General features: G+C 40.6%; 1 annotated feature.

The window, feature by feature from the left end:
• Nucleotides 20,024-20,525: an enhancer, noted in NCBI's record as "NANOG hESC enhancer chr6:47306925-47307426 (GRCh37/hg19 assembly coordinates)". NCBI's record gives its function as "activates a minimal SCP1, AML or CMV promoter by ChIP-STARR-seq in primed H9 embryonic stem cells {active_cell/tissue: H9 hESC(primed)}" and the evidence as "EXISTENCE:reporter gene assay evidence [ECO:0000049][PMID:30033119]".

Consider the following 26,657-nt stretch of genomic DNA (forward strand, 5'->3'; position numbering starts at 1 on the left):
TAGATCTTGTTCTACACTATTCCCTGCTCTTGCTAAAAGAAATTTTAACAGTTTACTCAAAAGGCAGTGGGCTTGGGGAGCCACCAGGTATTGGATCAAATCTCCATTATACTACTTATTAACTGTGTAAATTTAAGCAAGTATCTTAATCTTTTTGCATCTCTTCACTCGTAATGCAGTTAAAAACTATCTCATAGTGGAGATATGAGGAATAAATGAGACAAAATCTATAAAATTTCTAGCACAGGGCTTGTCCCTTAGTATTTACTTGATAAATTAACTTCCTTTCTGGAATCCCTTTTTGAAAGGGACAGTCTTTTATAAACTACTCTGATTAGAGAAGAAACATTGGGTTGGAAAGTTTGAAATTTCTTCAGACACGTTAGAATTTAGGGTAAAGATGAATAGAAAAATTGCTTACTCAGATATTGATGCAATGTGATGTCATAAAAGTTATAATAGCCAGGAGATCTGACTTCTGGTCTTGGCTCTGGCATTAACCAGCGGTGTGATTTTGGACAAGTCGCTGCACTTCACTGTATCTGCTTGGATTTTTAAGCTTCCTAGTGTGAAAAATGATAAATGTGGACTAAATGATCTTTTATGATCCTTTTCTGTCACTGAAGTGCTAGGATACTAATTGGATCATGTGGTATATTTCTCTTGGTTGTGAGAATTGTGAGCTGTTTGAAGTAGGAAAAGAGTAGATTGAAGAACGAATTATTTGGTGAGTGTGAGGTCCAAGCAGATGCTTTGAAGTGTAAAAGGATCATGGAATTTAATTAGCTTCTGTTCAGGAGTTGTCTGTCCAGTTCAGGAGTTATCAAGTCATTGGCATCTCCACCCTTTTTACTTGTTATCTCTCTCCGATCTCCTTTCATCTGCTCAATCACCAAGTAGTTACCGAGGGCTTGCTTTGGCCCAGTGCTGTGCTAAGAGGCAGAGTTGCAAGCAGAATATCAGGCAAGGTCTCTGCCTTCCAGAAGCTTTCAACAAAACCAGATTGATGAGATTAACATACATGAAAGCATACAGTACAGACACATAATTTAGTACCGAGATATGTGACCCAAGTTATACATGTATAGAAGGATTTTTTAAAAAGATTATTGAGGGTTGGTGTACTTAGGAAACGCAGAATAGTTATTCTTGAATATGGGGAAATTTTGTATTGGAAGAAGTCAGCTGGGTTTCTGAGCCAATGAAGCAAAATAAGTGAAGGTGCAGAAACAAGGAAGACATGACTTTGCCATTTGACACTCTAAGATGTTTCCTATCTAACCAAACACTGTACCCTTTTCTCTGTCCTTCAGCCCTGCTGAGGCTGACATGTATTCTCATCATGGTTTCTGATCTATCTACCTCTCTGCTTTCCCTGTTAGTTATCCCTTCTATTATCAAGTCACTTGCCCCAGAGCCATGCTACAAGTCCTCTCCCTGTGGCCTACCATTCCTATCTTAAAAGGTTCATCCAGTTTGGCATAGCCCTGCCTTTATTTTCTCAGATCTTACTCTGTGAACCATCAGGCTTGTTAAAGAAGTCTTGTCTACACTAACAGAACTCCATGCTATTCAACTGAACTTGATCCTCACTGCTCAGTGAAAATCAAGTTTTTTTTTTTTTTTTGGGACGGAATCTCGCTCTGTCACCCAGGCTGGAGTGCAATGGCACAATCTCGGCTCACTGCAACCTCTGCCTCCTGGGTTCAAGCAATTCTCCTGCTTCAGCCTCCAGAGTAGCTGGGATTACAGGCACACGCCACCACACCTGGCTAATTTTTGTATTTTTAGTAGAGATGGGGTTTCACCATATTGGCCAGGCCAATCCCCAACTCCTGACCTCAAGTGATCCACCCACCTCGGCCTCCCAAAGTGCTGGGATTACAGGCATGAACCACTGCACCCAGCCACAATCAAGCTTTTGTCTTTGACTTCTCATGGCATTGTGCATGTTGATTGCCCCAACTTCTTTCTGTTTTTCTCAACTCCTCTGCCCACCCTCCTTTGCCCTTTCACTCTCATCAGATAATCTTGATGATCATGATTCTGTAATGCAAGCTCCCCTCCACTTCCTTCTTTACAAGTCTAAGTAGGCCTGGAATGGTGGCTCATGCCTGTAATCCCAGCACTTTGGGAGGCCGAGGCAGGTGGATCACAAGACCAGGAAATGGAGACCAGACCATCCTGGCTAACACGGTGAAATCCCATCTCTACTAAAAATACAAAAAAGTTAGCTGGGCATGGTGGCACACGCCTTGTATCCAAGATACTCAGGAGGCTGAGGCAGGAGAATCACCTGAACCCGGGCGGCAGAGGTTGCAGTAAGCCAAGATTGCGCCACTGCACTCCAGCCTGGGTGACAGAGGGAGACTCCATCTCAAATAAATAAATAAATAAACAAACATGTAAACAAATATAAGATCCCTTACACTTTACCCTGCAACCTCTTCAAGTTACTCCTTGGTCTTTCCTCTTCTTTTTAGCAACCAACTTTTTGAAAAAGTAACTGTTTTCTTCCAAGTCGGTTTTCTTATCTCTTGAGTTTGGTTTTCCTTTCATCAAACCACAGTCTCCACCCCCGACACCCCGTCATGTCCCCGGTGCTCCTGCTGCACAGATCCTTCAGCATTTGTGCTGCTGAATCCATCTTCCCTCTTGAGTATGCATTGCCATCTATTGGCTTTCACTGCTGTAGCATTACCTTAAGATGTCTAATTTTCTCTTTTTGTTTCTGCCTTATTCTTTGTTTCAGTTTTCTTTCTCCCTAAAAATATAGACATCCCCTGATGTTCTTTTTTCAGCCCTTTCTTTTCTCTCCATGCCTTCTCTCCATGGTTACGCATTTATTATCACAGTTTCAGCAATGTTTCTATTCCTTTAACTCTCAACTCTTCACCTCTGGCTCTTTCAGTCAAGACCCATTTTCATTTCTAGCGGTTTGCTCAGTGCCACTTCTGCAATATGGAAATGGCCCTCAAACTCAACATCTCAGCCGGGAACAGTGGCTCACGCCTGTAATCCCAGCACTTTGGGAGGCCGAGGCGGGTGGATCACCTGAAGTCGGGAGTTCGAGACCAGCCTGACCAACATGGAGAAATCCCATCTCTACTAAAAAATACAAAATTAGCCAGGCGTGGTGGCACATGCCTGTAGTCTCAACTACTCAGGAGGCTGAGGCAGGAGAATCGCTTGAACCCAGGAGGCGGAGGTTGCGGTGAGCTGAGATTGCACCATTGCACTCCAGCCTGGGCAACAAGAGCGAAACTCCATCAAAAAAAAAAACTCAACATCTCTGAAGCCCTTCTCCTGTTAACAAGGCCACAGCTCTAAATAAGCCAACAGCTCTTTTTGTAGTCACTATTTCTCTTTTGTTTTTTTTTTTTTTATTTGTTTGTTTGTTTTTAGTGACAACACATTTCTTCCCCACTCATAGGCCTGGTTCCCAGAATTGTGTCTGACTCCTCCTTTTCTTTGCTTTCTCGTACCTCCTACCTCTACTCTGCTGCTAAGACCCGTATTTTAACAAAGACTCATATCTTTATATGCCTTTCCATTTCTTTCTAGCAACAAACTCATTGAAATTTTTAACAATGTTGCTTAGCTAAATTCGTTAGCTTTATACCTGGGCTACTTCTCACTAGTCCCTCTCCTCTAAGATACTTAAACACCATGGCTAAATTAATCTTCCTAAGTAATGGACTTGATTATTTCTCACAGTGCTCAAGAACCCTCAATAGCTCCCCATTGATTGAAAAACTATGTATGAAATTATCAATGTAGCATTCAAGGCTCTTCACAATATAGCTTCAAACTCATCATCCACCACTCTCAGCTACAGAAAACATGAATATCTCATTGTCCCCAGAGAATACCTTGCATTTTTCTACTAAATGATTTTGTTTATTCCATTTTCTCTGTGTGGAATCTCTATCAGTTGGAATTATCAAGCAAAACTCATTTTAATATTTCTCTCTTTAATATTTCTCTATTATTGATTCCATTCAATTCAGTAAACATTTATTGAGGACTTGCTATGCAATGTGTGCCATACAAAGGTGTATAAAGGTAAATTCTACCTTTGGGTACTGGCAAAAATATTGGGAAGACAGCCGTGTATATAAATATGTTTATATTTTCATGTTCTGTAATGAATGTCTAGCATAGAGCCTGGTACAGAGATTATGCAATACAGATTTGTAGAATGATTGAATAATTAAGTATTTTATGAGATGCAAATAGTGCAATACCAGTGTACATGAAGTAAGGATTCATTTCAACTGAGAGACCACCTGGGAAAGCCTAAAAAAGAAGTTGGATTTCCAGCAGAGGGAGGCTCTGCAGTCTAGTGGTTAAGACCACAGGCTCGACAGAAAGTTAGATTAGATGCCGTTATTCTGAGAACCATCTGCCTGATAAAGAGAGTCTGGAAGAAACAACCTTCTCTCTCCTGAAGATTCTCACAGTTTTTCTCCAGCCTGCCCTCTCTATAGAATTCTTCCTTACATCTTTCTTCTTCTCAGCATCCAGGACTTCCCCAAACCTTTCTGGGATCTGTCCCAAGAAAATTCCAAATTACTTTGCATAGAAAAACCTTCATATGCTAGAGAAGAAAGTTTTACTTTGTTATACAGAGTTCCTTGGCTTCCTTTGTCTTGATATCATGGACGTTGCCTTTCAATTAGACATTTTGCAAAACAAAGGAGTAGTTTTTCCCTTTTGCTAACTCCAAATGAAGAAATCTGACTCCATTTATGATGAGAGTTAGGAAAAGCTTTATGATGCTATAGTTTGAAGTACTACTAATCACAGCATGTATGAAACATTTACTATGTACCAGGCACCATATAAGTCCTTTACATACATTATCTCATTTGATCCACACAGCACACTTTTGCAATATGTGTTATTAGTATTATCATTCCCATTTTGTAGATGGGCAAATTGAGGCCTAAAGAGATTTTGTGACAAACGTAAGGCACTGATGGGGACAAAATTTGAACCTAAGTCTTGTGGCTTTGTATAGCTCATCTCTTTAACTAACATGCAGAGAACTGCCTCACAGTAATAGATTGTTGGTTGTTGGTTATTGTAGAAGATCCTGTGGGTAAACAGGTACTATACCTACTCTCTTGAGCAATATTGTCAGCTTTTGTAATTGGTAAGGGAGCAGTTAAAGCCTCTGACAAATGAACAGAGAAACAGCTTTATTAGCAATAAAAAAAAAAAAAACGGATCCAGAGTCATTTAAGTAATAAAAATGTAATGAACAAGTGGGATTCATCCCAGGGATTCAAGAAGGGTTCAACATATGTAAGTCAACAAATGTGATACATCACATTAACAGGATGAAGGACTAAAACCGTATGATCATTTCAATAGATGCAGGAAAGGCATTTGATAAAATTCAGCACCCTTTTATGATAAAAACTCTCAACAAATTAGGTATAGATGAAATGTACCTCAAAAAAACAAAGGCCATTTATGACAAATCCATAGCTAATACTATACTCAGTTAGGAAAAGTTGAAAGCATTTCCTCTGAGATCCAGTATAAGACAAAGATACCCACTCTTGCCAGTTTTTTTGTTTGTTTGTTTGTTTGTTTGTTTGTTTGAGACAGGGTCTCACTCTGTCGCCCAGGCTGGAGTGCAGTGGCGCGATCTCGGCTTCCTGCAAGCTCTGCCTCCTGGGTTCATGCCATTCTCCTGCCTCAGCCTCCCAAGTAGCTGGGACTACAGGCGTCCGCCACCACGTCCGGCTAATTTTTTGTATTTTCAGTAGAGACGGGGTTTCACTGCGTTAACCAGGATTGTCTCGATCTCCTGACCTCATGATCCATCCGCCTTGGCCTCCCAAAGTACTGGGATGACAGGTGTGAGCCACCATGCCCGGCCCACTCTTGCCAGTTCTGTTCAACTTAGTACTGGAGGTCCTGGCCAGAGCAATTAAGTAAAACAAAGAAATAAAAGGCATCCAAATTAGAAAGGAAGAACTTAAATTGCCCCACTTGCAGATGACATGATCTTATATATAGAAAATTTTAAGGACACCATTAAAAAGTTAAAACCAATAAATGAATTCAGTAAAGTTGCAGTATATGAAATCAACATACAACATTTCTACACACCAACAGCAAACTGCCTGAAAAAAAAAAAACAAGAAAACAATCCCATTTATGATAGCTACAAGAAAAGTTATGAATAGTTGAACAAAAGAGGTTGAAGATCTCTACACTGAAAACTATAAAACCTTGATAAAAGAAATTGAAGAAGATATAAATAAATGAAAATATATTCTATGGACTGGAAGAATTAATATTGTTAAAATGTCTGCACTACCCAAAGCATTCTACAGATTCTGTGCAATCCCTCTCAAAATACCAAAGACTTTCTTCTCTAAAAGAGCAAAAAAAAGTCCTAAAATTCATACAGAACCACGAAAGATCCCAAATAGCCAAAGCAATCTTGAACAGAAAGAACTAAGCTGGAAACATCACACTACCTGACTTCAAAATTACACTACAAAGAGATAGTAATGAAAAGAGCAGGGTATTGGCACAAGAACAGGCACAGAGACCAATGAAACAGGATAGAGAGCCCAAAAATAAATCCATGTATTTACAGGCAACTGATTTTTGACAAAGGCACCAAGAACACACAAGGGGGAAAGAACACTCTTTTCAATAAATGGGGTTGGGAAAATTGAATATCCACATGCAGAAGAATAAAATTAGATTATTATCTCATATCATATGGAAAAATAGACTCAAATGGATGAAACATTTAAATGTAAGACCTGAAATTATGTAACTATTAGAAGAAAACATAGGGGAAAACTTTCATGACATTGGTCTGAGTGACAGCTTTTTGGATGTGACCTCAAAAGTAAAGGCAACAAAAGCAAAAATAGACAATTGGGATATATCAAGCTAAAAAGCTTCTGCACAGCCAAGGAAACAATCAACAGAGTGAAGAAACAACCTACAGAAAAGGAGAAAATATTTGTAAACTATGCATCTGATAAGGGTTTATATCCAAAATATCTAAGAAAATCAAACAACTCAATAGCAAGAAAACAAACAACTGATTTAAAAATGGTCAAATAGATCTTAACAGACATTTCTTAAAACATACAAATGACCAGCAGCTATATGAAAAAAATACTCAACATCACATATCATCAGAAAAATGCAAATTAAAACTGCAGTGAGACATCAGTTTACACCTGTTAGAAGGGCTAGCATAAAAAAGACAAAAGATTACAAATGTTGTCCAGGCTGTGGGGGAAGGAAGACCTTGCACACTGCTGGTGGGAATGTAAATTAGCACAGTCATTATGGAAAACAGCATGGAGGTTTCCTAAAAAATTAAAAATAGAATGACTATATGAGCCAGCAATGCCACTACTGGGTATATATCCAAAGGAAATGAAATTAGTGTGTTGAAGAGATGTCTGCCCTCCCATGTTTACTGCAGCATCATTCACAGTAGCCAAGATATGGAATCAACCTAAGTGTCCATCAGTGGATGAATGCATAAAGAAAATGTGGTAAATACATATAATGGAAAACTATTCAGCCATAAAAAAGAAGAAAATCTTATCATTTGCAGCAACATAAATGAAGCTGGAGGACATTATGGTAAATAAATCAGGCCCAGAAAGACAAATACGGCATGATCTCACCCATATGTGGAACCTAAAACAGTTGATCTCATATGAGTAGAAAGTTATAGAAGTTACCAGGGCCTTGGGTTGTCGGGGAGGGTGGGTTGGAGAATGTTGGTAAAAGAATACAAAATTTCATTTAGATAGGAGGAACAAGTTCAAGAGATCAATTGTACAACGCAATGACTACAGTTATTAATATATGGTACTCCTGAAAAATGCTGAGTGTGAATGTATTCTCTTCACAAAAATACAGCTTTGTGAGGTCATGCATGTTCATTAGCTGGATTTAGTCATTCCACTGTGTATATATATATGTGTGTGTGTGTGTGTGTATAAATATATATATATACACATACATATACACACATATATATACATATATATACATACATACTTCAAAATATGTTGTAAATACAAATACATACAATTTTATCTGTCATTTAATAATAAATATATGTAAGCCTCAGTGCAGTGGCTCAAATCTCTAATCCTAGCACTTTGGGAGGCCAAGGTGTGGGGATCACTTGAGGCCAGGAGTGGAAAACCAGTCTGGTCAACATATTGAGACCCTGCCTCTACAAATAAATAAATAAATTTTTAAAAGGAAAAAAACTTGAACCCAGGTCTGCCTAGCTGGCAAATTTGTACCCTTCATTTCTTTGTTTGTTTTTGTTTTTGTTTTGAGTCAGGGTCTTGCTCTGCTGCCCACGCTGGAGTGCAGTGGCTCAATCACAGCTCATTTCAGCCTCAAACTCCTGGGCCCAAGCAATACTCCCACTTCAGCCTCCACAGTAGGTGAGACCACAGGCGTGAGCCACCATGCTCAGCTAATTTTTAAAATTTTTTGCAGAGATGCAGACTCCCTATGTTGCCCAGGCTGGTCTTGAACTCCTGGCCTCAAGTGATCCTTCTGCCTCGATCTCCCAAAGTACTGGGATTACAAGTATGAGCCACTGTGCCTGGCCTTATACTGTTTTTTAAAAATACACCAGAGTGGGTCAATTGGTCCCAAGATGGCCGAATAGGAACAGCTCTTGTCTGCAGCTCCCAGCATGATCGACACAGAAGATGGTGATTTCTGCATTTCCAACTGAGGTAACTGGTTCATCTCATTGGGACTGATTGGACAGTGGGTGCAGCCCACTGAGGGCAAGCTGAATCAGGGCAGGGCATCAACTCACCCGGGAAGCACAAGGGGTCAGGGGATTTCCCTTTCCTAGCCAAGGAAAGCTGTGACAGACTGTACCTGGAAAAATGGGACAATTCTGCCCAAACACTGCACTTTTCCCAAGGTCTTAGCAACCGGCAGAAAAGGAGATTCTCCCCCATGCCTGACTCGGTGGGTCCCATGCCCATGAAGCCTTGCTCACTGCTAGTGCAGCAGTCTGAGATCAAACTGTGAGGCAGCAGCCTGGCTTGGGGAGAGGTGTCTGTCATTGCTGAAGCTTGAGTAGGTAAACAAAGTGGCTGGGAAGCTCGAACTGGGTGGAGGCACTGTGGCTAAGCAAGGCCTACTGCCTCTATAGACTCCACCTCAATGGGCAGGGCATAGCTGAACAAAAGGCAGCAGACCACTTCTGCAAACTTAAACGTCCCTGTCTGACAGCTCTGAAGAGAGCAGTGGTTCTCCCAGCATGCTGTTTGAGCTCTGAGAAAGGACAGACTGCCTACTCAAGTGGGTCCCTGAACCCCGTGTAGCCTAACTGGGAGACAACTCCCAGTAGGGGCCAACAGACACCTCATATAGGCAGGTGCCCCTCTGGGCTGAAGCTTCCAGCAGAAGGATCAGGCAGCAGTATTTGCTGTTCTGCAATATTTGCCGTTCTGCAACCTCCACTGCTGATACCAAGGCAAATAGGGTCTGGAGTGGACCTCCAGCAAACTCCAACAGACCTGAAGCTGAGGGACATGACTGTTAGAAGGAAAACTAAAAAACAAAATGGAATAGCATCAACATCAACAAAAAGGAAATCTACACCAAAACCACATCTGTAGGTCACCAACATGAAAGACCAAAGGTAGGTAAAACCACAAAGATGGGGAGAAACCAGAGCAGAAAAGCTGAAAATTCTAAAAACCAGAGTGCCTCTTCTCCTCCAAAGGATCAAAGCTCCTCGCCAGCAATGGAATAAAGCAGGACAGAGAATGACTTTGACGAGTTGACAGAAGTAGGCTTCAGAAGGTAGGTAATAACAAACTTCTCCAAGCTAAAGGAGCATGTTTGAACCATCACAAGGAAGCTAAAAACCTTGAAAAAAGGTTAGACGAATGGCTATCTAGAATAAACAGTGTAGAGAAGACCTTAAATGACCTGATGGAGCTGAAAACCATGGCATGAGAACTTCGTGATGCATGCACAAGCTTTAATAGCCAATTCGATCAAGTGGAAGAAAGGCCATCGGTGATTGAAGATCAAATTAATGAAATAAAGCGAGATGACAAGGTTAGAGAAAAAAGAGTAAAAAGAAATGAGCAAAGTCTCCAAGAAATATGGGACTATGTGAAAAGACCAAATCTACGTTTGATTGGTGTACCTGAAAGTGATGGGGAGAATGGAACCAAGTTGGAAAATACTCTTCAGGATATTATCCAGGAGAACTTCTTCAACCTAGCAAGGCAGGCCAACACTCAAATTCAGGAAATACAGAGACCAGAAAGATACTCCTCAAGAAGAGCAACCCCAAGGCACATAATTGTCAGATTCATCAAGGTTGAAATGAAGGAAAAATGTTAAGCACAGCCAGAGAGAAAGGTCAGGTTACCAACAAAGGGAAGCCCATCAGACTAACAGCGGATCTCTTGGTAGAAACCCTACAAGCCAGAAGAGAGTGGGGGCCAATATTCAACATTCTTATTCAACATTATTAAAGAAAAGAATTTTCAACCCAGAATTTCCTATCCAGCCAAATTAAGCTTCATAAGTGAAGGAGAAATAAAATCCTTTACAGACAAGCAAATGCTGAGAGATTTTGTCACCACCAGGCCTGCCTTACAAGAGCTCCTGAAGGAAGCACTAAACATGAAAAGAAACAACCAGCCACTGCAAAAACGCGCCAAATTGCGAAGACCATTGATCCTATGAAGAAACTGCATCAATTAATGGGCAAAATAACCAGTTAACATCACAATGATGGATCAAATTCACAATAACAATATTAACCTTAAATGGAAATGGGCTAAATGCCCCAATTAAAAGACACAGACTGGCAAATTGGATAAAGAGTCAAGACCCATTGTTGTGCTGTATTCGGGAGACCTATCTCACTTGCAGACACACACATAGGCTCAAAATAAGGGGATGGAGGAAGATCTACCAAGCAAATGGAAAGCAAAAAGAAAAACAGAGGTTGCTGTCCTAGTGTCTGATAAAACAGACTTTAAACCAACAAAGATCAAAAGAGACAAAGAAGGCCATTACATAATGATAAAGGGATCAATTCAACAAGAAGAGCCAAATATCCTAAATATACATACACCCAATAAAGGACCACCCAGATTCATAAAGCAAGTCCTTACAGACCTACAAAGAGACTTGGACTCCCACACAATAATAATGGGAGACTATAACATCCCACTGTCAATATTAGACAGATCAATAAGACAGAAGGTTAACAAGGATATCCAGGGCTTGAACTCAGTTCTGCAACAAGCAGAACTAATAGACATCTACAGAACTCTCCACCCCAAATCAACAGAATATACATTCTTCTCAGCACCACGTTGCACTTATTCTAAAATTGACCACATAATTGGAAGTAAAGCACTCCTCAGCAAATATAAAAGAACAGAAATCACAACAAACTGTCTCTCAGACCACAGTGCAATCAAATTAGACCTCAGGATTAAGAAACTCACTCAAAACCACACAACTACATGGAAACTGAACAACCTGCTCCTGAATGACTACTAGGTAAATAACAAAATGAAGGCAGAAATAAAGATGTTCTTTGAAACCAATGAGAACAAAGACACAACGTACCAAAATCTCTGGGACACATTTGAAGCAGTGTGTAGAGGGAAATTTATAGTACTAAATGACCACATGAGAAAGCAGGAAAGATCTAAAATCAACACCCTAACATCACAATTAAAAGAACTAGAGAAGCAAGGGCAAACAAATTCAAAAACTAGCAGAAGGCAAGGAATAACTAAGATCAGAGCAGAACTGAAAGAGATAGAGAAACAAAAAAATCCGTCAAAAATCCATGAATCCAGGAGCTGGTTTTTTGAAAAGATCAATAAAATTGATACACCACTAGCAAGACTAATAAAAAAGAGAGAAGGATCAAATAGATGCAATAAAAAATGATAAAGGGGATATCACCACCGATCCCACAGAAATACAAACTACCATCAGAGAATACTATAAACACCTCTACGCAAATAAATTAGAAAATCTAGAAGAAATGGATAAATTCCTGGACACGTACACCCTCGCAAGACTAAACCAGGGAGAAATTGAATCTCTGAATAGACCAATAACAGGCTCTGAAATTGAGGCAGTAATTAATAGCCTACCAACCAAAAAAAGTCCAGGACGAGACAGATTCACAGCCGAATTCTACCAGAGGTACAAAGAGGAGCTGGTAACATTCCTTCTGAAACTATTCCAATCAATAGAAAAAGAGGGAATCCTCCCTAACTCATTTTATGAGGCCAGCATCATCCTGATACCAAAGCCTGGCAGAGACACAACAAAAAAAGAGAATTTTAGACCAATATCCCTGATGAACATTGATGTGAAAATCCTCAGTAAAATACTGGCAAACCAAATCCAGCAGCACATCAAAAAGCTTATCCATCACAATCAAGTCAGCTTTATTCCTGGGATGCAAGCCTGGTTCAACATAGGCAAATCAATAAACATAATCCATCACATAAACAGAACCAACAACAAAAACCACATGATTATCTCAATAGATGCAGAAAAGGCCTTCAACAAATTCCAACAACCTTTCATGCTAAAAACTCTCAATAAACTAGGTATTGATGGAACGTATCTCAAAATAGTAAGAGCTATTTATCACAAACCCACAGCCAATATCATACTGAATGGGCAAAAACTGGAAGCATTCCCTTTGAAAACTGGCACAAGACAAGGATGCTCTCTTTTGCCACTCCTATTCAACATAGTGTTGGAAGTTCTGGCCAGGGCACTCAGGCAAGAGAAAGAAATAAAGGGTATTCAATTAGGAAAAGAGGAAGTCAAATTGTCCCTGTTTGCAGATGACATGATTGTATATTTAGAAAACCCTATCATCTCAGCCCCAAATCTCCTTAAGCTGATAAGCAACTTCAGCAAAGTCTCAGGAAACAAAATCAATGTGCAAAAATCACAAGCATTCCTATACACCAATAACAGACAAACAGAGAGCCAAATCATGAGTGAACTCCCATTCACAATTGCTACAAAGAAAATAAAATACCTAGGAATCCAACTTACAAGGGATGTGAAGGACCTCTTCAGGGAGAACTACAAACACTGCTCAACAAAATAAAAGAGGACACAAATAAATGGAAGAACATTCCATGTTCATGGATAGGAAGAATCAATATCATGAAAATGGCCCTACTGCCCAAGGTAATTTATCGATTCAATGCCATCCCCATCAAGCTACCAATGACTTTCTTCACAGAACTGGAAAAAACTGCTTTAAAGTTCATATGGAACCAAAAAAGAGCCCACATTGCCAAGACAATCCTAAGTCAAAAGAACAAAGCTGGAGAAATCACGCTACCTGACTTCAAACTATACTACAAGGGTATAGTAACCAAAACAGCATGGTACTGGTACCAAAACAGATATATAGACCAATGGAACAGAACAGAGGCCTCAGAAATAACACCACACATCTACAACCATCTGATCTTTGACAAACCTGACAAAAACAAGCAATGGGGAAAGGATTCCCTATTTAATAAATGGTGCTGGGAAAACTGGCTAGCCATATGTGGAAAGCTGAAACTGGATCCCTTCCTTACACCTTATATAAAAATTAATTCAACATGGATTAAAGACTTAAAATGTTAGACCTAAAACCATAAGAACCCTAGAAGAAAACCTAGGCAATACCATTCAGGACATAGGCACAGGCAAAGACTTCATGACTAAAACACCAAAAACAATGCAACAAAAGCCAAAATTGGCAAATGGGATCTAATTAAACTAAAGAGCTTCTGCACAGCAAAAGAAACTACCATCAAAGTGAACAGGCAACCTATAGAATGGGAGAAAGTTTTTGCAATCTACCCATCTGACAAAGGGCTAATATCCAGAATCTACAAAGAATTCAAACAAATTTACAAGAAAAAAACAACCCCATCAAAAAGTGGGCAAAGATATGAACAGACACTTCTCAAAAGAACACATTTATGCAGCCAACAGACACATGACAAAATGCTCATTATCACTGGTCATCAGAGAAATGCAAATCAAAACCAAAATGAGATACCATCTCATGCCAGTTAGAAGGGCAATCATTAAAAAGTCAGGAAACAACAGATGCTGAAGAGGATGTGGAAAAATAGGAATGCTTTTACACTGTTGGTGGGAGTGTAAATTAGTTCAACCATTGTGGAAGACGGTGTGGTGATTCCTCAAGGATCTAGAGCTAGAAATACCATTTGACCCAGCAATCACATTACTGGGTATATACCCAAAGGATTATAAGTCATGCTACTGTAAAGACATGCACATGTATGTTTATTGCAGCACTATTCACAAGAGCAAAGACTTGGAACCAACCCAAATGCCCATCAATGTTAGACTGGACTAAGAAAATGTGGTACATATACACCATGGAATACTATGCAGGCATAAAAAAGTATGAGTTCACGTCCTTTGCAGGGACATGGATGAAGCTGGAAACCATCATTCTCAGCAAACTAACACAGGAACAGAAAACCAAACACTGCGTGTTCTCGCTCATAGGTGGGGATTGACCAATGGGAACACTTGGACACAGGGTGGGGAACATCACACACCGGGGCCTGTCAGGGTTTGGGGGCCTCAGAAGGGATAACGTTAGGAGAAATACCTAATGTAAATGACGAGTTTATGGGTGCAGCAAACCAACATGGCACATGTATACCTATGTATCAAACCTGCACGTTGTGCACATGTACCCTAGAACTTAAAGTATAATAATAAAAAAAAAACACCAGAGTGATGAGATCCATTAAAAAAAGTTATATATTATCTTTATTATTGTTATTGTTAACATTGGGTTTTGCCTTTTTAGTCCTTAATGTTAACCATTTTAATGACTGCATTTAAAACATGAGGCTCATTTTTACCCTTCGTATCCTCAAATATGAGCCCCCCAGCCCTCTGTCATTTTAGCTACAGCAGGCAGGAGTCAAGGAGTCCCACTCCCATGGACAGCAATGGTGTGAGAGCTGATTTCCCAGGGATCAGACTGCCCCTTCTTTTTTCTATTTTGTTTCTTTACTCTTCTTTTGATCTTATGCTCTCAGCTTCTTTGTCCAAGCTCCTCCCTCTTCTCTCACCCCTCCTCCTCCCTGACCCCTCCTATACTTGTGAACTCCTTACCACCCCAAATGCCAAGAATGTGAATTATATAAAAAGGCAAAAATATAAGATGTAAACAGAACCAGACAATGGAGAAGGAAGCAAAATTGTTTTTCAAATATAAGAGGAAAAAGCAAATCCTCTAAAAGATCCTATTACATGGTGGTGACTCAGATACTGGGGCTTGGGAAGGGATGGATCATTTCAACTCTCATGGGAAGGTAACTTTGTCCTATACAAAGACTGTGATCTTGAGAAGTGATAGCTTCCCCCAAGGTAAGGTACTTGCAATACCACAATCTAGTTAGAAACATGTATTTGGTCTCTGTTCCTGCTTTGATAGAAGTGCTCTATCTTGTAGATAGAGATGCTAGGAGAATCTTTTGTTCTAATATTTGGTCTTTGACCCTAGTTCCTGACACAGAGCATCTAAAACCTTTGTAATTTCCTGAGTGATACGAGTGTCTGACACAGAGCTCCTAAATCCTTTAGAACTTCCTGGGTAATAAGAGCATCTTTTGTTCTAGTGAGGCAACTTTCGGTGGGCTTCTGGATAGCCTCAGGATGGAGGCTGTTTGCCAGGGGAACCAACCATATGACTAAAGGCTGAAACTTTAAGCCCCATTCCCTGATCTCAGAGAACGCAAGAGGGGCTGAAGGTTAAATGGATCCTCGATGACCAGAAATGTAATCAATTACACCTATGTAATGAAGCTTCAATATAAATCCAAAGGGACCATGGTATAGAGAGCTTCCAGGTGGCTGAATAGGTAGAGACTCCTACCCAGAAATGGCCTGGAAGCTCTGTGTCCCTTCCCACACGCCTTGCCCTATGTATGCATCTCTTCCATCTGGCTCTTCATCTGTATCTTTTGTAATATCGTTTATAATAAATGCGTAGATTAAGTAGGTTGTTTCCCTGAGTTCTGTAAGCCTCTCTAGCAAATTAATCAAACTCAAGGAGGAGGAATTCTGATTTACAGCTGTTTGGTCACAAGTATAGGTGACCTACTAATTGTGATGGGCATCTGAAGTTGGAGGGCAGTTTTGTGGGACTGAGCCCTTAACCTGTGGAATCTGACTCTAATTCCAGGTAGATAGTGTCATTATTGAATTAAATTATAGGACACCCAGTTGCTGGTGTTAAAAGAAAAACTTCAGCTGAATTAAATTTAAAGGAGTTTAATTGAGCAATGAATGATTCGCGAATAGGACAGCCCTCAGACTCAGCAGATTCAGAGAGACTACAAGCGTGCCTCGTGGTCAGAACAAATTTACAAACAAAAAAGGGAAGTGACATACAGAAATCAGAAGTGAGGTACGGAAACAGCTGGATTGGTTACAGATTGGTGTTTGCTTTATTTGAACACAGTTTGAACACTTAGCAGTCTACGAGTGGTTGAAATATGGCCTCTGGGATTGGCCAAGACTCAGCTATTGTTACAGGCACATAGTCCTAAGTTAGGTTTTCAACTTGTCTGCTTATCTTAATAAGGTTACAGTTCATCCACCAGGTCTCAAATATAAAATTACGGAGTCCTTCTCAGCCCATATTTAGTTTGCTTTAACAGTGTTCACTGGAAAATTGCTTTTGGTGTGTGAGAAAAAAAATCCCCACACACATTTTGGTGACCAGAGGTGACGTATTCTATATTGGGTGTGTAAGAAAAACACTTGGTTTTCCATCACATACTCCCAGAGCCAGGGGAGAATGCAGGAGGCCTGTCAGTAATGCCTCTAGGAGAAACCAGTGGGCTTCTTGGCAGAGGTAACACATGAGCAGGCTATTGCTGAATGCAGTATGACTCTCGGTGGATACAGGGAGAAGGGCATGTCTCCCCCATCAAAGGAGCAGCCAAACAATGACGAGAAGTCCTCAAAGCCCCTCCATGGTGTGACCTCTGGAATCCCCTCCAACTTCACGTATCACTCCCTTCCATGCTCCCTCTGCTCCAGCTACACTGACTTCCATGCTGTTCCTTAAACTTGCCAAGCAAACCCTGCCTTGAGGGTTTTTGCACTTGCTGTTCTCTCTGCCTGCCAATCTCCTTTCTCACTCCTTCATTGTATCCTCCACTCACAGCCATCACTTCAGAGAAGCCCTCTCTGGCCCCCCTTCTAAAATAGCAATCCCTGTCATTCTCCATCCACTTTCCTATTTTGCCTTTATCAGCATTTTTCTCTACCTGGCATTACATTTTTTCCTTCTGTGTTTATCTTACCATTTTCTGTCTTCCCCCATTAAGTTAAGCCCTGTACTTACAAGACCTTTTCCCACAAGCTTCTTAGCAGACTTAGAATTGATTCCTTTGTTTTGGGCTGGCTGCACAATTTTTTCACTTTGCCTTAGAATTTCATCACCAAGAAGTCTTCACACACAAAGTCTTCACAATCAGGGCAAATGTTCCTCAAAATTCATTTTTTAAATCCAGGTAGAATTTTCTTACCCCTGTTTAACCCTTCCTATCTGTCATTCATTGGCTTTGTGAATTATCTCAAGCCTGAATTATTCTACCTCACCCCAGCCTGTCTGTGCCCTGCCTATGTCAAGAATTCTGCCTTAGCACTGAGAGCCTGCCTGAGAGCTGGGGTTTAAAATGTCAGGTGGGACCCACTAGCACAATTGTGTTTCAGTCCAGACTTGTTGAGCTGCCTGGGTGCAGACATGTAGGAGGTGGAGGGCTAGGTTACACAGGGGTGAAGCTTATAACAGAAAGGGGACAGGGCAAGGGTGTTAAGGGTGTATGCAGTGGAAGATTCACAAAGACAGATTTTGAAGTCTACCTGAGGAAGTGTGGAAGTGGGAACAGACCATGGATGGTTATGGTAAACTGAATAACCTCCCCCTAAAATATTCACATCTTAAATGGCCAGATCCCGTGAATGTTACTTTATATAGCCAAGGAGACTTTGCAGGTGTAACTGAGTTGAGGAGACTTTGCAGGTGTAACTGAACTTAGGATCTTGAGATGAGATTATCCTGGGTTATCTAGTGAGCTATAAATGTAATCACAAGGGTCCTTATAAGACAGGGGACAGAAGGTCAAAGGAAGAAGAAGATGTGTTGATGGACGCAGCAATAAGAGTGATGCCCTTTGAAGACAGAGGAGGAAAGCTATGAATCCAGGAATGTAGGTGGCTTCTGGAAGCTGAAAAAAGCAAGGAAATGGATTCTCCCCTAGAGCCTCCAGCAGGATGCAGTCCAGCCTATGCCTTGACTGTAGCCCAATAAGACCGATTTCAAATTTCTGACCCCTAAAACTGTAAGAGAATAAATTTGTGTTGTTTTAAGGGGAGAGAGAGAGAGAGAGAGAGAGAGAGAGAGAAAGAGAGAGAATTTTCTGCCTTAAGGCCATGTGAGAGCTGTCAATTGCCAAGGTGTCTGCTGAATTTAACCAGGAAGCCACTCTCATTGAATCATCATCATCACCATCCTCCTCCTCATTATTAGCACCTCTGGGATTCCATTGCCACTACCACCACAGCAACAGCTGACATTTATCAAGCAGTTACCTTACACCAGGTTCCTTGGTATGTGTTTTACACGCATTATCTAATTTCTGTATTTACAATAACCTTGTATGGGAGGTACCATTATTAACCTTATTTTAGAGGTGAAGAAAATGGGACTGAAAGGTAACTTTTTGAACAGAAGTTTCATAGGCTTTCTACCAGGTGGGGAAATACACACATTTCCTATTTTATGGTTTGCCTGATGGTAATGAACAGGGTTTGAGACTGGGAGTAGGGGAGGGGGCACAGTAATGGACATAATCCCTTAGTACCTCCCTTTCTGATATCTGCTTCTTTCTTTGGTATTTGGGGTTGGGGAGCAGGCACACCAACCTAAAACAAATCTTAGTCCCTGATCCATGACTCTGGCAATGGTTTTCTGGAAGAGACCCCAGTAATAATAATAATCACCACTTTACAAAGCTACTATGTACTCAGCACATTATTAATAGACTTTCTAATCTCCACAACTATCTTGTATGGTAGATATTACTGACATTTGTCAGATAAGAAAACTACACCTCAGGTAGGTTAGATGACTGGTCCAAGGCTACCCAGCTAGTTAGTAAATGCCTAATCTCAGATTCAAACCAAAGGCTGATGCCATCATCTATATTGTTTCAATTACTCTAGGCCACTCTCTAACAACCAGCTCACAGAGAGCACATATTGAGGTCCATTTCAGATTTATACCCAGATTTGAGTTGAGCATCTGATCTTATATGGCCAAAGAGACTTTGCAGGTATAACTGAGTAAAGAGCCTTGAGATGGGGGGACTATCCTGGATTATCCAGTGGGCCGTAAATGTAATCACAAAGGTTCTTCTGCTGGCTTTATTTGGGCTTTAGTGGATGCTGTGCCTTCTGCAGTTCAGACTTCTTCTGAGACAAGCACTTAAAAATTGGAGTTCAGGCCTTTACACCTAGGTCACAGCTACCCCAACCCTGGGGTGGGTTGTTGACTGGCTGTTTGGCCAAGCAAACCTCAGTGTTTCATTCTGAGATATTCAAAGGTTCTGGGAATTGGGACATGGATGTCTTTTGGGGAACATTGTTTAGCTACTACATCAGGTAATGCAGATCAACTTCAACCTTGGGCCTGAAGGCCAAGTTTCTCCCTTAAAATCTGGCTTTAGATTGAATATCTCATCTTATAGGACACTTTGTCCCAGTGCCACAACTGGTAAAATTCACTAGAAATGTAATGACAAATAGTTATCAAGTGCCTACTACTACATGCTAGTCACTGTGTTGGTCTCCAGGGATTTCAGAGTTTATGGTGCTGGGATAATTGGCAATCCACAAGTAGAAGAATGAAACTGGATTCTCCTCTCTCATCTTATACAAAAATCAATTCAAGATGGATCCTGAATTCAATTCAAGACTTAAATCTAAGACCCAAAACCATAAAAATTCTAGAAGATAACATGGGGAAAACCCTTCTAGACACTGGCTTAGTCAAAGACTTCATGACCTAGAATCCAAAAGCAAATGCAACAAAAACAAAGATAGAGAGATGGGGCTTAATCAAACTAAAAAGCTTCTGCACAACAAAAGAAGCAATCAGCAGAGTAAACAGACATGTTTACTCTGGGAGAAATCTTCACAATCCATACATCTGACAAAGGACTAATATCCAGAATCTACAAGGAAGTCAAATAAATCGGCAAGATAAAACCAAACAATCCCATCAAAAAGTGAGCTAAGGACACGAATGGATAATTTGCAAAAAACAAACATATACAAACATGAAAAATGCTCAACATCACTAATGATCAGGGAAATGCAAATCAAAACCACAATGTGATACCACCTTACTCCTGCAAGGATGACCATAATCCAAAAATCAAATAATAATAGAGGTTGGCATGGATGCAGTGAAAAGGGAACACTTTTACACTGCTGGTGGGAATGTAAACTAGTACAGCCACTGTGGAAAACTCTGGAGATTCCTTAAAGAACTAAAAGTAGAACTTCCATTTGATTCAGCAATCCTACTCCTGGGTATCTACCCAGAGGAAAAGAAGTCATTATACTAAAAGGATACTTGCACATGCATGTTTATAGCAGCACAATTTGCAATTGCAAAAATATGGAACCAGCTCACATGCCCATCAATCAAGTGGGTAAAGAAATTGTGGCACATACATCTACCATAAAATACTACTCAGCCTTAAAAACAAGCAAAATAATGGCATTTGCAGCAACCTGGATGGAATTGGAGACCATTATTCTAAGTGAAGTAACTCAGGAATGGAAAACTAAACATAGTATGTTCTCACTCATAAGTGGGAGCTAAGCTATGAGGATGCAAAGGCATAAGAATGATACAATGGACTTTGTGGATTCAGGGGGAAGGATAGGAGTGGTGAGGGATAAAAGACTACACACTGGGTACAGTGTACACTGCTCGGGTCCTGGGTGCACCAAAATCTCAGGAATCACCACTAAAAAGCTTATTCATGTAACCAACCACGACCTGTTCCCAAAAAGCTACTGAAATGTAAAAAAAAAAAAGAAAAAAGAAAAGAGAAAAAATACTTGAGTTCTGTAGGAAAAGAAAGAGCTAGACCATGTAAAGAGCATGAGGGGAAAACATTCCAGACAGAGAGAAATGACTAGACTAAGGCCTTTGAGAGAGGTTGCACACTCGGGAACTGAAGGAAGAGTGTGTGGTTGCAGAGTAAGGAAGGAGAGAATGTCACAACATGGCTGGAAACGCAGGCAGGGGCCAGATTATGTGGATGTTTCAAGTCAGGAAAGGCCTTGGGATTTTATTCTAAGAGTAGATAGAGTCCACTGACAGGAGAATACTGTTAATGTGACAATGAAATGTGGTTAATGATATTAAAGGATTCCAAACCCCAGTTACATGTTTCTTGAACAAAAAAGTGTAGGCTAAAGCGAAAATCACTTCTTTTTTTTTTTTTTTGAAATGGAGTCTCACTCTGTCTCCCAGGCTGGAATGCAATGGCACAATCTCAGCTCACTGCAACCTCTGCCTCCTGGGTTCAAGCCATTCTCATTCCTCGGCCTCCTAAGTAGCTGGGATTACCACCAGGCCCGGCTAATTTTTGTATTTTTAGCAGAGATGGGGTTTCACCATGTTGCCCAGGCTGGTCTTGAACTCCTGACCTCAGGTGATCCACCCTCCTCAGACTCCCAAAGTGCTGGGATTACAGGATTATAGGCGTGAGCTGGAAGTCACTTCTTAAAAGTAGGTTTCCTTCCCATGATGGAGAAAACTCAATACTACTAATGCATTTTTCTCCAGACTTGAGAAGAGGGTTCTGGCATTGCTTCTATGTCTGCCATTGCAGCTTCTTTACAACTAACATCAAAGATAACTTTCTTACTTTAAAAACCTTCATGCTTTTTGGCCCAGTACTTCCAGATCTGGGAATATATTCTAAGGAATAATAATCAATGTAAATAATGATTTATGTAGAAGGATAATTGTAGCATCATTGCAATAGTGAAAATATTAGAACAACCCTGGTATTAACGGGGGGAATGATCATGTCTATTGAAATGATAGAATATTATATAGTCATTAGAATACTATCTTTTGAGGATGACATCTTTTTACATGTTTAGTTATATAAAAATCTTGCTAATATAACTTGAAGTTAAGATAAATAGACTATTAATAAATATATACCCACATATGTACATAAACATATTCTCTATTTCAGTTAAGACAAATGCAAATGAACGTAAAAATAAAAATATTTACAATGGGTATCTCCATGGCTGCTCCTTACTCAGCATAAGATACTAATTGACGTTTCTTGAATATCACCCAGTCTATAGTAGACACTAGGGTAATAATTATTGACTAAAGAATAACTCCCTGAGAATACAGAACTAATTCCAGATATGTGAATGACAGCTTAGCTTTGCTTTAGTGCAATGGGTGATGGCAAGTTTAAGAATCCTTAAATTAGAAACATTTCCCCCTTATAAAAAGATTTTCTTGTCCTTTATTTTGTATCTTCTGAGCCTCTTTCAGAGCATAAAATGTGATTATTTCTGCCAGTCCCAACATCCCTATTCTGTGTGCCTCGTGAAAAAAAAAAACTCATTAATTTATCAATCATCATCAAGAAATAGAGGTGGTAGTGAGATATTTAATAGAAGTTTGGAACTGCATTGATTGACACAGAGAATAAATAACTGTTTGTTTATATGATAATTGGAGTAGTCCGGGGAAATGTGCTCCCTCCCAAATCTTTCTTTCCTTCTAGCAGTCTGAAATATCACATTAGAGGAGAATTTGTTCAGCTTAAGGTATCATTAAAAATATAAATACCCAAAGAAATAGAGTGAGCCATTCTCAGTTATAATTAATTAAGTAGATCCTGTTCAATATTACCAAGGTCTGGGAGAGGGGGCCTTGCTCTGCAGTAGAGGGGAAACAACAGGATGCCCCAGGGGAATGAGGAGCTAAGAGGCAGGACGCTGGTGAGGAAGAGATATGAAGAACTAGGGAGCGGGCGGGACGGGCCTCATGAGAACACTGAATGAGGTATGTGAATGCCTGAATTTAGGCTCCACCTTAGTCACTAATAGTCACTAACAGAGTCTGCTTGGAGAGGAGGTTTGACACGTGTTAGGGCCTGCCATCTCCATAGTCCCTTCTGAAGAAGACAGACCATGGCCATCCTGGTCATGGCGGATGGGCCCCAGGACAACTGATCCACAGGCCCAGTGGCAGCCTTCATGAGTGGCTGACACAAGAACTTTGTCCATAAGAAATAACTATGAAACTAAATGAACCAACCAGTCCCTCTGTCTTCAGGGGTGTGAAGGATAGATAGAAGGAAAGAGAGCTAGCAATGGGCACAAGCCGAAGGAACCCCGGAGAGAACGAGAAGTCAGGAACCTTAACCATGAAAGACTGAGAGTCAGCAGAAGCTGTAAACACTGATGAGTTGGTTTCTTTCAAGTTATTAACCTTCTGCGTCCGTAGAAGTAGCAGAAGCAGTAAAAGCCGAGACTGAAAGGAGCAGGAATAGGGCAAAGCTTAACCCTCGAGCAGACGGGAAGGGATCCCTGCTGCTGGGTTTGTGGCCAGATGGCCTGGATTCTCTGCTGTCTCAACTCCTGCAGGAGTGTTCCAGCGGCCACAAAACCCAGGTATGTGGGATTGCGGCTGACCTTCTTCACTTCCCTGTCTAGACCAGGACCTGCCACCACACATCCCCTCTAATGCCCATACATGTGCACACAGCCACACGCACACACACACACACACACACACACACACACCCCTACATACCCACCCTTGAGTAAAGGAACTGGGATGTGCCTCTGTTGCTTCCAACTCCAGAGCTTGTTAATTTTAGATAAGTTTCTCTGAGACTAAAAGACGTTTCTAAAATAAAGCATTTGGACAAGACAGTCTCTAAATTTGTGTCCAAATCTTGCCTTTGGAATTCCATGAATCTAAGATGTGAGGAGATTAGGATTGGATCATGTTTCATATTACAGTAACTTCCCCCACATAAAGGGAGAGAGATTCTAAAAAAATTTATCCCTTCTTCATTATAGAAATCCAGTGAATATTATAATTTGCCATAACAAATTACAAGAACAGGAGAGTTATAAATCTATAAGATGGGCAAAGTATGTACGTGTAGTTGGCAAAAGGGGCTGAGGAGTGGAGAGTTAAGGAAGTAAGAATTTGCTGAGAAGACAAACTGAGAAATGGAGTGGGCTGGAGCAGGCAGGACTGATTAGGAGGGGCTGAGGTTTGCTGCTTTCAAACTAGCCCTAATCACATTATTTGAGAGTGCACAGTGGGTCTGGTGCCTTTTCTCCAAATGATGTAGACATATGTCCGCTCAAATAAATTAATACTCTCATCTCATCTGACTCATTTGGTGGGGATGACAAGCACACATCTGACTGAAATAGAAGAAGGAGAGGGCACAGTGGCAGGAAGAAGGAAGGCAGAGATATTGCACAAATTATCAGACCTTCCCCTCACCACGGGATAATACCCAAACTCCCAGCTGCGGGCATGACTGGCCCTACCTCATCTCCCTCATCCTTGCCTTCCTACTGCGCATGGCATGAGCCAACTATACTAAATTTTTTGGCAGTTTAGTTATATTCTTGCTATCTTTTGCCTCTGTGCTTCTATGTATTCTCTTCTCTCTGTTAGGAGAATCCTGATTCTCCTACCTACACAGAGAACTTCTATCCTTCCTTCAAGTCATGAAACAAGCTTTATATCCCCCCATCTAGAATATAATCTCTGATAGGGCAGGACCTTTGTGTTTTGTTCATGATGATATACCCAATAGCTAGAGCAGTGTCTGGCACTTAGCCAGCTCTCAGTCAGTGTTTGTTAGCTGGGTGAATGGCTGGTGTTAAAGAAAAAATGTATTCATTCTGACACGTGTTAAGAGCAATAAGGTGAACTTTAGCCAAGTGGGACAATTACAATAAGTATACAGGAGAGCTACTACAAGGGGGTCTTGCAGAAGGACAGAGAAATTGGGCTTGACTCCAAATACAACAAGGAAAAGTGGGAATTTATAGCTAAGAAGCAGAGAGGTCAGTGGAGGGAAATCAACTAAGAGGAAACATTGGGGTAAGGAAGAATTCTGGCTAAACTGACCTAACAGGATTCTTGCTAAAGGCAGGCCGGGATATCAGACATCACCTGGGGGATATTGAGGGTAATCATATATCCAGGGTAGGCAGTTATGGTTAAAACAACTTAGCAGAATTCTTACTAAAATTGGAAAATGAGAGATGAACACAGAAGCCCAAAAGTTGACCTAATTGAGAAAAGAGTTCAAGAGAGCCTGAGTAGAGTTTAGCCAAGGAGATAATCTTTTGTCAATGTATAGGTGGATGAATGGATGGATGGATGGATGGATGGATGGATGGATGGATGGATGGATCAATGGACAAAAGAACTTCCTCTTAACCCCCACAAGTCCCTTTGGGTACAAATTGTTTCTTTCCTGTTGTCTATTTACCACATTTTATAAATCTTTATTAGGCCTTATACCCAAGAGACAGAATCTCCTAAAGAGAAGATATCATGTAATAATAAAAGCAGAGAATGATGGGTAGACAGGGAAGAAGAAGGAGACCAGCTATTTATAACCATCAATTCCCATCTAAGAAGCTAGATTCTATTAAATAAAGAGCCCCTGCTGTTCTGTTGGACTCTTGGGTCATTTTAATATCCAATGGATCTGAGAGTATAGGCTGCTGGGAACTGGATACCTTCCCATAAAACAAACAGGGGAATATAAGGGAGGAGAAAAGATACTAGGAGGAGGAGAAGAAGGTGGTATGACTGGCAGTCTGTTCTGGGTGAGAGAATATTACTAAAAAGTTGCTGTTAATGGTAAGGCTGGATAACTTTTTAGATTTGAAGATATTTGTCTTCCTGCAACATAAACCTTTTTCTGTGTCCCTCAGTCTTCAATGAGCCCTATGCCACATGCTTGAAGTGAAAGGGACTGAACTCCCTATTAAGTAGGAAGAAGAGAGCTTTGCCAGATGATGAATCAACCTAGAAACTGAGGAAAAGCAGGAGTTTGAACCAGAACACACTGTAAGCCTCCTGGGAATGCAGTCATCTTAGGGTGGGTTTTGGACTCCCACAGGGCTGGCAACAGGGGTTCAAGACAACCATGTCTACAATTTGGGACCAGGAATGACCCAGCTCATGTTTAACTCATAGAAGACTCTGAACAACTTTGTTGGGGGAAAAAAACAAAGGGGAAAAATGAGGAAAGGGAAAGATGTAAATACTTGTACTTGTTTTCAGAACTGAGCCTTGATTGCTTAATGCAAACATGGAAATAAAAATAGTATACTTATAATAAAAGAGCTACTCAAAGAATTTTCGTTCATAAGCTCTCAGAGGCTTTAGCAAAACTAAAAATTTGGGAAAATTTGTCTTGACCTCTCATTCA

This window comes from Homo sapiens, chromosome 6, assembly GCF_000001405.40.
Source record: "Homo sapiens chromosome 6, GRCh38.p14 Primary Assembly".
NCBI classification, from domain to species: Eukaryota; Metazoa; Chordata; class Mammalia; order Primates; family Hominidae; genus Homo; species Homo sapiens.